General features: G+C 43.7%; 2 annotated features.

The window, feature by feature from the left end:
- Window positions 489-588: an enhancer, noted in NCBI's record as "active region_8559". NCBI's record gives its function as "activates an Ori minimal core promoter by ATAC-STARR-seq in GM12878 lymphoblastoid cells {active_cell/tissue: GM12878}" and the evidence as "EXISTENCE:reporter gene assay evidence [ECO:0000049][PMID:35858748]".
- Window positions 649-798: an enhancer, noted in NCBI's record as "active region_8560". NCBI's record gives its function as "activates an Ori minimal core promoter by ATAC-STARR-seq in GM12878 lymphoblastoid cells {active_cell/tissue: GM12878}" and the evidence as "EXISTENCE:reporter gene assay evidence [ECO:0000049][PMID:35858748]".

Genomic DNA, 15,599 nt, shown 5'->3' on the forward strand with positions numbered 1-15,599 from the left:
AAATAAATGGAAACAGGGACTCTCAGCAAAGTGAGAGTCCTGCTTGCTGGTTTTTCCTGCCTCACTGATTGAATCCCATGTACTACCCTGGATCAGGAGAGGCCAGGCTCCTTCCTGCTGCAAAGGGTGTGAACTTCTGCAGCTCCACCCTGTTCTCCCAGTGCGCAGGCCAGTCGGAGTTTCTCAGGGGACCCCTTTACACTTGGCTGTCTCAAAAAACAGGGAGCAAAACAGATAAAACCCCTGGCTTTATGGATCTTATGTTCCTTATATATATATATGTATAAGGAACACACGTATATATGTGTATATATGTATATATATATTTTTAGGTTCTGGAATAAATGTGCACAACATGCAGCTTTGTTACATAGGTATATACATGCCATGGTGGTTTGCTGCACCCATCAACCCGTCATCTACATTAGGTATTTCTCCTAATGCTATCCCTCCCCTATTCCCCCACCCCCTAGATCTTATGTTCTAATGAGACAAGACATACTTTGAGAGGCCAAGATGAGTGTCAGCAAATAAATATGTATAATACACCAGCTTCTGGGAAGTACTTTGAAGGAAAATGAAGCAGATTAAGGAGGGTAGAGTGACATGGTTAAGAGAATGTGGTTTTTTAGATGGGAGATCAGAGAAGACCTCTCTGGTAAGGAGACATTTGAGTCAAAATCTGAAGAAGGAGGGAGTGAGTCATCTGAGTCTGTGAAGAATTTTCTAAGCAAGGCGAGCAGCAAGCACGAAGGCTCTCAGGAAGGAGTGTGCTTGGTGAGTTCTAAGAACAAGCAGGCCAGTGTAGCTGGAAAGTAGTGAGCAGGAGACTGTGGGCAGGAGAGGACATGAGAGAGGTGACAGAGTGGATCACTGAGGACCCTGCAAGTGGTGGTAAGGACTTTAGATTTTGTTTTGAAGCCATTGGAGGGCTTTGAGTAGAGCAGTGACATGATTGGACTCACACCTTGGAAGGATCACTCTGAGCATGGACTCCAAGAGTGCACAAGGAGAAGTGTGAGGCCAGTGAGAAGGGTGCTGCAATAATCCGGGATGAGATGAAGATGATGGTGGCTTGGACCAGAGAGAAGAGACTAAGGGTGGTGAGATGAGATTAGATTCTGATATATAATGAAGGTAGAGTAGACAAGATAGATGAGATATAGGGTTATGATTTATGACATAAAGAGAGAAATCAGGAATGATTCCAGTGTTTTTGGCCGATACTCAAGGTTTTAAATTTATAGCAGGGATGGGCTGCTTCTGGTTAAGATAATAAGGGAAAGATTAATGAAAGACCCAAGATTTGAGCTGCACTTTGAAAAACTAGTAGGATTTTGTGACTTATAAAAAGTCTCAAGGGCTTATTTTGAGACCATTTTATCTCCTGGAGTGCAGCCTCCTACCCTAGTTCCACTTCTTTCAGTTATATCAACCAGGAGCTCTGGGATGCGGGACTCAGCCAGCCCAAGGAAGGTGAATCTGGATTCTTTAGGCCAATCATGAAAATTTTCTACTCTTGCCAGTAACTGGTTTAGAAATGGGCTGGTTTAAGAATGGGAATGTACTGGCCTGGGCATGGTGGCTCATACCTGTAATTCCCATACTTTGAGAAGCCAAGATGAGAGGATTGCTTGAGTCCAGGAGTTTGAGACCAGCCTGGACAATATAGTGAGCCCTCCTCTCTACAAAAATAAAAAATAAAATTAGCAGGGCACGGTGGTGCGTACCTTTAGTCCCAACTACTCAGGAGGCTGAGGTGGGAGAATTGCTTGAGCTCAGGTGTTTGACACTGCAGTGAGCCATGATTGAGCCACTGCACTCTAGCCTGGACCACAGAGTGAGACCCTGTCTCAAAATAAATAAAATAAAATAAAATAAAATAAATAAGGCATATGCTATAGTTCTGGACAATGGAACATAAAAGGAAACTGCAGAAGGGACGTCTGGGAAAATCTCTAAGTCTTCAAAAGGAAGCAAGGTACTCTGGCCTTGAGATGTTGTTAAGGACATAGAGCTTGAACTGCTATTGCCATCTTGCAAACATAAAGAGGAAGGTAAAGGCAACAGCTGCAGAGTGGCAGAGAGAAAAGGTGGACAAGCATGGTTCCTTGAGAACATTGCTGAGCTATGGAATTACCCAACCCTGGAACTGCACAACTTCTGAATTTTTTTTTTTTTTTTTTGAGACAGAGTCTTGCTCTGTCGCCCAGGCTGGAGTGCAGTGGTGTGATCTTGGCTCACTGCAAGCTCTGCCTCCCGGGTTCACGCCATTCTCCTGCCTCAGCCTCCCAAGTAGCTGGGTCTACAGGCGCCTGCCCCCATGCCCAGCTAATTTTTTGTATTTTTAGTAGAGATGGGGTTTCACCATGTTAGCCAGGATGGTCTCCATCTCCTGACCTCGTGATCTGCCCACCTCAGCCTCCCAAAGTGCTGGGATTACAGGCGTGAGCCACCGTGCCCGGCCCTGAATTTCTTTTGTAAGATTAAAAAAAAAATCTTATCATGAAATGCTTTTGAGTTGGGCAGTTTCTACTTGAAGCTCAAAGTACATCGTTTTAGATAAGCAATAAAGATTCTGGTTAGAAGAGGGCAAAAACAAACACTTTGAGGCAAGACTTTCTTGGAGACAAGAAAGCTCAAAGCGTATTTGGGGAGGATTGGTGGAATAGCTTGACATTCATTCATAAATTCATTCACTAAGTATTTGTTGACGCCTACTGTGTGCCAGGCACTGTTCTAAGATCTAGTATTCTGCAGGAAACAAGATTGACAGGGTACCTCTTATGGAGTTTATTACCTTGTGGAGGAAAGAGGGGTGCATGTGGACAGTGGCTACTGTATTGAACAGCACAGGCATAGGGTCTGGGAAGGCCTAATTCAGGGAAAGCATGAAAGGATGAAACTGTGAGTTTTGGCAATGGCTTTAGGCTTCTGCTGCTCTGCTCTCGATTCATTCTCCAAAGAGATTTATTAGGTCAAAGGGCATAAATATTTTTAGGACTTAAAATTACTTTCCTAATTGGTTACATCAATTTATGGTACTACCCAAGGAATACAGGTCCTGATATTACTGGGTTTGGATTTAGGGATTTCCATTTTAATTTGGTAGGGATTAATTTAGTAAAGGAGTTCATTTAATAAAGTTAATTTAATTAATTTAGTGAAAAAATACCATGCTTCTTTTAATTTGCTTCTTTTTGATAATTAGTAAAATTGACTACTTTTGTGTGTTTGTTAATACTTGTTCTTTTGTTAATTGTTTTGTTAGTTTTTATTCAGTTATCAGCTGAGATCTTAATGGGATTCTTATCAACTTATCTGAGTTCTTGACATAGTTCTTGTTGTAAATATAACTCCTGGTATGTTGTTTGTTGTTAATTCTGGTGATGTATTACATATAAAATTTATTTATAAAGAATTTTTAATTTTTTTGAGACAGAGTCTCACTCGGTCACCCAGGCTGGAGTGCAGTGGTGTGATCTCGGCTCACTGCAACCTCCGCCTCCTGGGTTCATGCCATTCTCCTGCCTCAGCCTCCCAGGTAGCTGGGACAACAGGCGCCTGCCACCTCGCCTGGCTAATTTTTTGTGTATTTAGTAGAGACGGGGTTTCACTGTGTTAGCCAGGATGGTCTTGATCTCCTGATCTCGTCATCCGCCCGCCTCGGCCTCCCAGAGTGCTGGGATTACAGGCGTTAGCCATCGTGCCCAGCCTAAAAAAATTTTTATGTAGTTAAGTACTTTAATATTTTCTGTGTAGTATACTATATTGCTATACTAGAAGCAATGTACTATTGCTTATACTATAAGCAATTAGTATTGCTTATAATTATAGAGTCATCTTCCCACTACTGTTTTGACAAATTTTCAATCCTATTTTCTTCTGAACTTCACAGTATTAAATGTTTTTAAGACTTGAAATCAAACAAAATTAATTTTAATATATAAGGTGTGGATCTCAATTCTTCCCTTCCCTCTTAAACTGCTGGTCAGTTATCCATCCACCATTTATTGAAAAATATTTGGCCAGCCATGGTGGCTCATGCCTGTAATCCCAGCACTTTGGGAGGCCAAGGCGGGCAGATCACCTGAGGTCAGGAGTTCGAGACCAGTCTGGTCAACATGGAGAAACCCCGTCTCTACTAAAAATAGAGAGATTAGCCGGGAATGGTGTTGTATGCCCATAATCCCAGCTACTTGGGAGCAGGAGAATCACTTGAACCTGGGAGGTGGAAGTTTCAGTGAGCTGAGATTGCGCCACTGCACTCCAGCCTGGGTGATAGCAAGACTTTGTCTCAAAAGAAAAAAAAGAAAAGAAAAAGAAAAATATTTGTTGATCTCATTGTATCATGATAGCTTTATCATACACTGGGTTATTTATGAAGAAAAGAGATTTGACTCACAGTTCCACAGGCTTAACAGGAAGCATGACTGGGAGGCCTGGGGAAACTTAAAATTATGGCAGAAGGTGAAGAGGAAGCAAAGCACATCTTTCCATAGTGGAGCAAGAGAGAGCTAATGAGTGAGGGGGGACGTGCCACACACTTTTAAAACATCAGATCTTGTGAGAGTTCACTCACTATCGCGAGAACAGCATGGGGGAAATCCACTGCCATGATCCAATCACCTCCCACTAGGTCCCTCTCCCAACGATGGGAATTACAATTCAGCATTTGATTTGGGTGGGGACACAGAGCCAAAGCATATCAGGGTGTATATTTGATATGATCTTTCTATTATATTACAGAAATCTGTCTTTTTTTTTTTTTGAGATGGAGTCTCACTCTATCACCCAGGCTGGAGTGCGCTGGCACAATCTTGGCTCACTGCAACCTCCACCTCCTGGGTTCAAGTGATTCTTCTGCCTCAACCTCCTGAGTAGCTGAGACTACAGGTGTGTGCCACCAGCCTGGCTAATTTTTGTATTTTTAGTAGAGACGGGGTTTCACCACGTTGGCCTGGCTGGTCTTGAACTCCTGACCTCAGGTGATCTGCCTGCTTCGGCCTCCCAAAATGCTGAGATTACAGTCACTAGCCAATCTGTCTATCCTTTTTTTTTTTTTTTTGAAATGGAGTCTTGCTCTGTCACCAGAGCTGGAGTGCAGTGGTGTAATCTCGGCTCACTGCAATCTCCTCCTCCCGGGTTCCAGCAATTCTCCTGCCTCCGCCTCCCGAGTAGCTGGGATTAGGTGCCTGCCACCATGCCTGGCTAATTTTTTGTATTTTTAGTAGAGATGGGGTTTTGCCTTGTTGGCCAGGCTGGTCTTGAGCTCCTGACCTCGTGATCGCCCGCCTTGGTGTCCCAAAGTGCTGGGATTACAGGCGTGAGCCACCGCGCCCGGCCTGTCTATTCTTAAATCAAGACTTCAATACAGGAAGCCAGGTGTGGTGGCTCATGCCTGTAATTCCAGCACTTTTAGGGGCTAAGGTGGGAGATTACTTGAGGCCAGGAATTCAAGACCAGGTTGGGTAACAGTGAGACCCCATCTCTAAAAAGAAAAAACTTCAATATTTTATTTTTTTTATAGGTTTTTACTTTTGATAGATCTCGTTCACCCTCTTTCATTCCCTTCTGCAACAGATTTTCTTTCTTTTTTTTTCTTTTGAGTCAAGGTCTCTCTCTGTTATCCAGGCTGGAGTGCATTGTGCAACCATGGCTCACTGCAGCCTCGAACTTCTGGCCTCAAGCAATCCTCTCACCTTGGCCTCCCAAAGTGCTGGGATTACAGGTGTGAGTCACTGTGCCAGGCCTGTTTTCTTTCTTGCCTGTTTAGAATTTTCCTTTTATTCCTTTCTTTTGTCATATGTTTAAAAACATCCTTCTGGGATTTTTACCAAGATTCTGCTAAATATGTAACTTAAATTGTAGGAAACACATATTTATATAATATTTAGGTTTCCCATCTAGGAACTTCTATTTTTCCATTCATTCACATCTTTTCAGACAACATAGAAGTTTTTTTTTTTTTTTTTTTGAGACAGAGTTTTGCTCTAGTTGTCCAGGATGGAGTGCAATGGTACGATCTCAGCTCACCACAACCTCTGCCTCCTGGGTTCAAGCCATTCTCCTGCCTCAGCCTCCTGAGTAGCTGGGATTACAGGCATGCACCACCACGCCCAGCTAATTTTGTATTTTTAGTAGAGATGGGATTTCTCCATGTTGGTCAGGCTGGTCTTGAACTCCTGACCTCAGGTGATCTGTCCGCCTTGGCCTCCCAAAGTGCTGGGATTACAGGCGTGAGCCACCATGCCCGGCCATCACATAGAAGGTTTTATAGATTTCTTTATAAAGAAATGTATGTATATACATATATTTTGCATACATACATTGTATCTTAGACTGGGTGCCATAGAAACGGACTCTGAGATGGAGAGTTGTCTACAGAGGGTGTTTTACAGAAGACACACCTGTAGCAAGATGGCCTGCAATGGAGCTGCAACTGGGAACTTAGCTGATTCCAAGGTGGGAGGTAGTGGTGGGGATTGGGGGAGATCCTCTGAAACTGGAATGGGACTTTGAAGTTTAGCAGTTTACAATTAAAATACAATCTTTGAGTGGACTAGGATGCTCAAGTCAGCCTGATCATTATATGTTCTCTTCTTAGATAAACCTCAGAGACAGCCAGGTTATCCAGAGATGCTTAAGAAACATGAAATCAGACCAAGGAGTGAGCTAATTTCAAGAATTATCTCCCAGCTAAGGCAGCTTATGGCTAAGTCTGGAAGTATACATGGAAGTCTGCTTGGCAAAGAGATTCCTCCCCACTTAGCCATGTTTAGGGGGAACTGATGTGTTTGCCTGATTGACTAATTCCCCCACATGCACTAGGTCTTTTTCCAACTAGGGTTCAAGTTTCCGTTTGAGGCATTACTGTTACATTCTTCTTCTGCCTCTCAGAAATTATTCCCAGAACACCAGGACTGGAATACTTCTCTTCTTAATCTCTTCAGTCACAAATTACAATCTTTATATTTACCTTCAAATATGTAGCTGATCACATTTGTGGTATGAGGATCTTACTAATTTAATTTTGAGATTAATTTTCTGTCTAGTTTTTTTTAGAGGCAACTTATTGTGATCTCTAAGGATTGACAATGGCTTCTACAAAAATCATAATTTAATATGATGTCCAATATTAGGTACTCTTTATTAAGAAGACTCATTCTAGCTCTACTAGCCCTTAAAAATGAATGTATATTGAATATTAAATGCCATTTTTGCATTTATAGAAAAAATCAAACGATTTCTTTTGAGCTTAATAGGTTGTGATATTTCCAATTAAGATATCCTTTTATTTGGGGAATTAAGTCCTCCTTCTGTTAATGAATTATTTTGAATACGCAATGTACGTACATGGCACAAAATTCAGAAGGTATGTATAGGTATCTGGTGGAAGTCAGTCTCCCTTCCTCCCCTGACTTCCATCCACTTAATTCCTTTCCTTGGGGCAGCTGATGCTATCAGTTTCTTGCGATTATTCCAAATGTGTCTTATGTATTTTCAAATATTCTTCCCTGTATACATAAATAGTAGCATACCAGCTTGAACCCAGGAGGCAGAGGTTGCAGTGAGCTGAGATCAGGCCACTGCACTCCAGCCTGGGCAACAGAGTGAAACTATGTATCAAAAAAAAAAAAAACATTAGTAGCATACCATTCTGTACTATTTAACATATTGCTTTTCTTGATTAATAATATTTATTTGATATAGTTCCATATTAATAGGTATAGAATTTTTTCATTCCTTTTAATGGTGGCATATAATTCAATATGAATGTAATAATTTATCACTCCCTTATTAATGAACAATTAAATAGTTGTTAGCCAATTTGCTTTTACAAACAATGCTGTAGCTAGCATCCTTGTGCAGGTCATTTTCCATACATGCAACTATATCTGTAGGATAAATACCTAAAACTGGAATTGTCGGGTCAAGTTCATTTTTGGTTTGAAAGTTATTGCCAAATTCCTGGCCATAGATTTATGCCATTTACCATCCCCTCAGCAACAAATGGGTGTGCTGGTTTCTTCTTGACAATATTGGATATGATGAAGCTTTTTGATCTTAGTCAATCTGGAGTTGAAAAATGACATCTCATTGTAGTTTCAAAGTGCTTTTATCTTTAATAGTGTGGTCAAGTTTTTCTTATGTTTACCAGCCATTTGTATCTCATGTTGAAGCTAAAGTTTGTAGTATAGTATGATTTGGCCTCTGGACCTCAATTTTTGTGTTGCAGAACCCAGAACATGCCTTTTCCATCTCTATAGCTTTTGCATTCATTTAATTATTATTATTTTAAGAGATGGGTCTCACTATGTTGTCCAGGCTGGCCTAGAACTCCTCAGCTGAAGTGATCCTCCTGCCTCAGCCTCCCAAATAGCTGGTAATATAGGTACACTCAACTGTGCCCAGTTCGTTTAAGTTCATTTTGACTGCAAGTAACACAAAACCCTGACTCAACTGACTTTTACGATGAGGAAAATCAATTAGCTTACATGATGACATCATGTCATGGGATAGAGTAGCTCTAGGGTTGGTTAATTCAGCTACTCAACAAAGTCATTGAAGTCCCTGGTTTTTCTGTCTTTCTGGTTTGCCACCCTCCAGGTAGATTATCTCATGGTCACGAAATGACCACATTACAGCCAGGAATTTCACTGACACAGTAAAGTATCTAGCTGAAGGAAACAAACTGTTTCTTTCTTTCTTTTTTTTTTTTTGAGATGGAGTCTCGCTCCATTGCCCAGGCTGGAGTCCAATGGTGCAATCTCGACTCACTGCAGCCTCCGCCTCCTGGGTTCAAGCGATTCTCCTGCCTCAGCTTCCAGAGTAGCTGGGATTACAGGTGCCTGCTACCATGCCCAGCTAATTTTTGTATTTTTATAGAGACAGGGTTTCACCATGCTGGCCAGGCTTATCTCAAACTCCCGACCTCAGGTGATCGGCCCGCCTCGGCCTCCCAAAGGTCTGGGATTGCAGGCGTGAGCCACCGTGCCCGGCCAAAACAGACTCTTTCTTACCATGAGTCTCTTTAAGAACAAGGAAACCTTTTCCCAAGCCTGTTCCTGGAAGTTCTTTCCCTGGAAGTTCTTTCCTGAAATTTCGTTGGCCAGACTCGGGTCTTATTATACTCATTCCTAAACCAATAATTGGCAAGGATCCTGGGATCGTGATGATTGGCTTATGTTAGTCAGGAATTCCCCCTAAATTATATAAGTAGTAGTAGACACTCTCTCTCCATGCCTTCCCAAAATAATTGACATACTGCAAGGAACACAGGGATTGGTTATGGGACAGACAATCAACTGTGACTGCCACAGCATTGCACATGCGATTCCTTTTGCCTGAAACCTCTGTCCTCCATTTATTTTCCCACCTAACTTACAACCTTTCAAGTCTAGGCTCTGAGTAGCTCCAAGGAAATCATCTTTATGCCCTCTAGGTTGGGTAGATAACTTCCTTCTACTCCCTGGCAGCCTGTGCTACCCTCATCACACTGCACTGTAGGCTTCACTTGTCAGCCTCCCACCATTCCCCAGCTCCTTGAGGGCAGGGCCTGGGTCCCATATTTTTCTGTATCTCTAGCCACTAGGACAGTGCACAGCACTGGGCAGACACTGAAAGAAATCTATTTGCTAGTATTTTATTTTGAAATTTCAAGTCTAGATTCACAACAGAGATCCATTTCCAGGCTTTTCTTTTGTGTGCGCATGTGTGAATGATTTGTTTGTTGGGATTTGGAATTAGGATGATCTTTTCCACATAAACCAAACTGGAGAGTTTCCAGAACAAGTTGTTTAACTTGTGGATTATTGGTTCCTTAAAAGCCCAGAGGCTCAACACATATTTCCTGAACACGGACTATGTGTTGGGGCACTGTATAAGTTGGCACTTTATACAAGAGTAGTATGAGAGCTTGTCTCTGAATGCATAGTTTATGCTTTAAGGCAGCATTTTTCAATTGTGGGTAATGAAATCAATTTCGTGGGTCAAAACCATCATTAAAAGGGGAAAAAAGAATTCAATGGAGTAGAACAAAATATATCAGAGTATATTACTTTTGCTAAAACTTTTGACCCAGTTGTGTGTGTGTGTGTGTGTGTGTGTGTGTGTGTGCGCGCGCGCGCATGTGATGTACCAGATCAAGATATAAAATGTACTTTTACAAATGGGTCACATTTGTAAAAGTTTAAAGCCATTGCTCTAAGGGTCAGTATATTTTCTTTTCTTTCTTTCTTTTTTTTTTTTTTGGAGACAGAGTCTCGCTCTGTCACCCAGGCTGGAGTGCACTGGCGTGATTTTGGCTCATTGCAAGCTCCGCCTCCCAGGTTCACGCCATTCTCCTGCCTCAGCCTCCCGAGTAGCTGGGACTACAGGCGCCCACCACCACACCTGGCTAATTTTTTGTATATTCAGTAGAGACGGGGTTTCACCGTGTTAGCCAGGATGGTCTCGATCTCCTGACCTTGTGATCCGCCCGCCTCAGCCTCCCAAAGTGCTGCGATTACAGGCGTGAGCCACCGCACCCAGCCTAGTATATTTTCTTTGCTCTTTCTCTTTGGAGTTTTTTTTTTTTTTGAGACAGAGTCTTGCTCTGTCTTCTAGGCTGGAGTACAGTAGCACAAACTCAGCTCACTGCAACCTCTGCCTCCTAGGTTCAAGCAATCCTCTCACCTCAGCCTCTCGAGTAGCTGGGACTACAGGCGCCCACCACTACGCCCAGCTATTTTTTGTATTTTTAGTAGACATGGGGTTTTGCCACATTGGCCAGGCTGGTCTCAAACTCCTGACCTCAAGTGATCTGCCTGCCTTGGCCTCCCGAAGTGCTGGGATTACAGGCATAAGCCACCGCACCCAGCCCGAGTATGTTTTCTTTTAACTCGCAATGTCTGGGCTCTATGAAAAGAGGGAAAGACAAGGATTTGAGATTCTGTCTCCCACACTACACTCCTGCCCTGCCAGCCCCCACCCTTGGATTTGTTAGCCTGGCATAGACTTTAGAGTCAGGGGGCAGAAGTCAATTCTCAGGTCCAGGACCTACGAACTCAGCAGCCTTGAGCAAGTCACTGGACCATTCAGAACATCTGTTTCTCTCTTGTGGAATGGAGATAATAATACCTGTTTCACAAGGCAATTAAGAGGATCGAGTGAAATATGTGAAAATATTGTTTAGTAAACTCCCTTTAGGTCCTCAGAGAAGAAAAGCAAACTTCATCTGTAGGTTAAAAAACATCCTGTCTCCTGTGAAGAGGGGAATGGCTTCACAGAGAAAGTTGACGGGATGCTAACACCCACAGGCTGCAGATATTTAAATCAAAAAAGGGGAAAAATCAATGGGAAAAGGTCAGGACTCTCTCATTTTTCTAACGAGCAGTTATTTTTTATTTCTCCATGGAGTGCACTGTCACGGGGAGGCTGGAAGTGCTGACAGTGCACGCTGCTGAGTCAGGGGAGGGGAGACGTTGCTGACACTGTTCCCTTTTCATAAACTTAGCAGGAAGGACCAGCCAGTGGACTCTGTCCTCCCTTTCACCCTTGGCAGGGGGTGCAGTGGGGGTCACCCAGCTTGGTGATCACTCAGGTTAGGAACTGTGGTTGAAGGTTGAGGAGAAATAGGGTGGGGGTGACAGCTCACAGCAAGCCAGTCAGAGCAGTGGGTCCATCGTGAGGGTCAAACCTCACACTTCCGAAATTCTCTCTTATATGGCAGTCTCTGAGCAATGGTCACAGTGGAGAAGTTGGGCCCAGGCTGTGCCATGGTTCATTTTCTCTAGCTACAGGTAGCCTACCTCCCTTGCAAATGCTCTGTAGGCTTCATAGCCTGGGTTCTCCTGTTGTCAGCTGTATTAACAGGGAGTCATAGATGGGCTTCCTTAAATAAAAAGTTATCTTTACTTATTTGTCGTTATCCTCGAATTGCTGAGACTTTTTTTTTTTTTTTTTTTGAGACAGAGTCTCACTCCAGGATGGAGTGCAGTGGCACAATTGTGGCCCACTGCAGCCTCGACCTCCTGAGCTCACATGATCCTCCCACCTCAGCCTCCCGAGTAGCTGGGAATACAATGTGTACCACCTTGCCCGGCAACTTTTTGGTTTTGGTTGTTATTTATTTATTTATTTATTTATTTTGGTAGAGATGAGGTCTTGCAATATTGTCTGGGCTGGTCTTGAACTCCTGGCTTCAAGCAATCCTGCAGCCTTGGCTACCCAAAGTGCTGGGATTACAGGGATGAGCCACCATGCCCGGCCGAATTGCTGGGATTTGGAAGAAAGACTTTGTAGGGGATCCTCCCCTACACACACACACACACACACACACACACACACACACACCCCTTGAGACAAGACGAGGAAATGAGAAGCTGGCTCACCTTGGCAGGCAGGCAGAGCAGCGGAGGTTGCTACCTACCTGGGCTGGGACTTGTCCTTAAGGGACATCCTAAGGGAATGCAGAATAAGAGGAAGAGGTAATTCCCAGTGTTTCAGGTGAAGACTAGGGATCCCCCCAAACCCAGTGGTTCTTCAGTTGGTTGGTTGGTTTTTTTTCCAGACACTCTGTCCTTAGGGAGTCACATCCGGGATCATGGCAGTTCACACCCTGTTCTTTAACACACTTCAAATCTGCCTTGGCCCCAAGGGTGCCAGCGTTCCCCAGTGTGCTCAGTAGAAGGAGATTGTGAAACAGGCAGGGGGGTCATACTCACACCCATACAGGGCAGAAGAAAGCCCTGGGCCATGTGTGAACAGCTGCTGCTCCATCTCCCCAGCACAGCTGGGCACATCTGTCTGCCAACACTCATCTCTAGTTGTGCTATCTTGAAGGTCAGTGGTGATCTTTTAGTCATCAATTCCAGTGACCTTTACTCAGGCCTCATCTTCCAACCGACCAGCTCTTCTTTCTGAAATGCCCACCCGAGTGAGCTAGTTCTTTCCCTACTCCTGTCACAACTCTTACTTGGGTTCTTCTTTCTCTTTTTCTGCATTTTATGTCTTTCTCAAACCTCTGTCTTTAGCCCTTTTCTTTCTCTGCCATCTCTCTCTCTCTAGGAAACTTCGGTTTCTTTTGCGACACGAAGTAGTATCTTGTCAAGACTTTATTTTTGTCAAGTAACAGTACCTACTCCAACTAGCTTAGGCAAAGAAGGGGTCTTCAGGGCCCAGTAGAGAAGTGTGGGTACTCTGGGCAGGGGCTGAAGCCAGGACAGGTAGCATTTGCCGAAGCACTGGTTTCTGCACTCTGTGTGTCTGCTCAGATCTGCTTCCTAGATAATCTCTATCTCTTCCTCCTCTCCTCTCCGGGGCCACCATTTTACCTGGAGCTTTCATGACCTCTTTAGTGATTTCCCTACTGTTGGGTGTATCTTCCATCTAAGCTATCTTATTTCACTGGCTGTGCCCTCTGCCTATGGTCCCATGTTTTAGAGGATCCCATGCTTTAGAGGGCCTCACTCTGGCCCACTTTGGCTATACCTCTCATGGCGGAAAGAACCCACCAATGGGATGTTCCCACTCAGAGCCCATATTCCCCTTCTAGAGCCTAATTCCTGGGCCTGGGCCACTTCTGCAGGTACACTTCCCCAAGGACAGACTGTACCACTAATGTACTTATTCCTAGGCATGAAAGGTGTGCAATAAGTGTGATGAGGTAAGAGTGGGAATGTGGATGGAGCTTGGTCATGTCTACGTGAATGTACTCAAGGCCCTTTGTCATGTGGGACAGTGCCTGGGCTAGGAAGATAAGTGGGGGGTGGGTCAGGGGCCAGCTCTTTCCATTCCACTATGTCCCCGCATGGAGCTCTGAGAAGTTCAAGAATTCCATATTTGAACCTGGCCTTCCAGATTAGCCCGTTTCTTTCTCTTTTTCAAGGGCTGTATATTTGTATCTGTGTGTATATTTTGTGTTTATGAGGGGATATTTGTCAGTATAGGGGAATTGAAATATTTTATTTATCCGTTTGTTAGTGTAATTTACAACTTTTATATATGTAGTATGTGGACTTCCATCTGCACTCGTGCCCAAGGCCCCGCAAATCTTAGCGGCAAGTCTGTATTTTATTACGGCCAGACTTGTAAAGAATTATATTCCCCAAACAAAGCTCTATGTAATCAACTGCTTGATGATAACCACTACTACATACTGGGAAGTAAGAGGCTCTGGCTGTTCATTCCTTTGGATGAAAATAACAGTCAAGTGGGACCTGCCTTTCACTAGAAAAAGGGTCAGGCTGGGCTAGAGCTGGTGAAAACTCGCTGGGGAAGACCAGCCTGGCCAACATGGCAAAACCCTGTCTCTATTAAAATTAAAAAAATTAGCCGGGCATGGTGGTGCACACCTGTAATCCCAGCTGCTCAGCAGGCTGAGGCAGGAGAATCGCTTGAACCTGGGAGGAGAAGGTTGCAGTGAGCTGAGATTGTGCCACTGCACTACAGCCTGGACAAAGAGCAAGAGTCTGTCTCAAAAAAAAAAAAGAAGTAGCCAGTCTGAAGTTGCTGAGGAGAATGAGGAGAACAGGTCACACATCATCAATGTAAAGGAGACTTCATTCCTAAGGTCACTTTTTGCCTCTGTTTCAGATTTTCCTATAGTTCCCATGTGCTGGAACTCATCCCAGCCCAATTCACGTAAGACCCTTCTAGGGTGCGGGAGCAGACCACAGGAACCTGGCTTAGTACTTAGCATTACTTAGCAACAGCTTCTAAGGAGCAACGCAGGACAATAATGAGCATACAGTGTGGATAATCAATCTTCTATTGATATCTTTAAGGGGAAAAATTAGGGGGATAATCCATTTGGACCAGGAAGAAGTATAAGTGGGTAGGACTGGAAGTCGGAGGAGGTAAACTAGGGCAAGATGAAGTTCCATAACGTTCTCCACACTTCGGAAGTTGAGTCAGGTGCTTGTGCTGGGAGAGAGGACCGAATCCAGGATAAAGCTTCTGTTCAGCACAGCTCCATCTGCCAATGCAGATAACTTGGGATATTTTCATGCCAGATGTGCAAGGATCAAGAGATTCACAGAAAAGTTGTTGAGCTTGAGAGACAAAGAGGTAATTTTTAAAATAGGGAATATGGAGGAATGTATATTCTAGGAAAAGCCTTGAGTATAAAACTTTTAAAGTTTTTCTTTTTTTTTTTTTTTTTTGAGACGGAGTCTCGCTCTATCGCCCAGGCTGGAGTGCAGTGGCGCGGTTTTGGCTCACTATAAGCTCCGCCTCCCGGGTTCACGCCATTCTCCTGCCTCAGCCTCCCAAGTAGCTGGGATTATAGGCGCCCCCACTACGCCCAGCTAATTTTTTGTATTTTTTAGTAGAGACGGGGTTTCACCATGTTAGCCAGGATGGAATCCATCTCCTGACCTCGTGATCCACCCGCCTCGGCCTCCCAAAGTGCTGGGATTACAGAGATGAGCCACGATGCACGGCCTAAAGTTATATATATATATATATATATACACATACACACACATACACATACACACACACACACATATATATATGTGATTTAAATATATAGATAGATATACATATGTAACTTTTTTTCTCTTGAGACAGAGTCTCACTCTGTCACCCAGGCTAGGTGCAGTGGCGCGATCTTT

This window comes from Homo sapiens, chromosome 14 (assembly GCF_000001405.40).
Source record: "Homo sapiens chromosome 14, GRCh38.p14 Primary Assembly".
In the NCBI taxonomy this organism is placed as follows: Eukaryota; Metazoa; Chordata; class Mammalia; order Primates; family Hominidae; genus Homo; species Homo sapiens.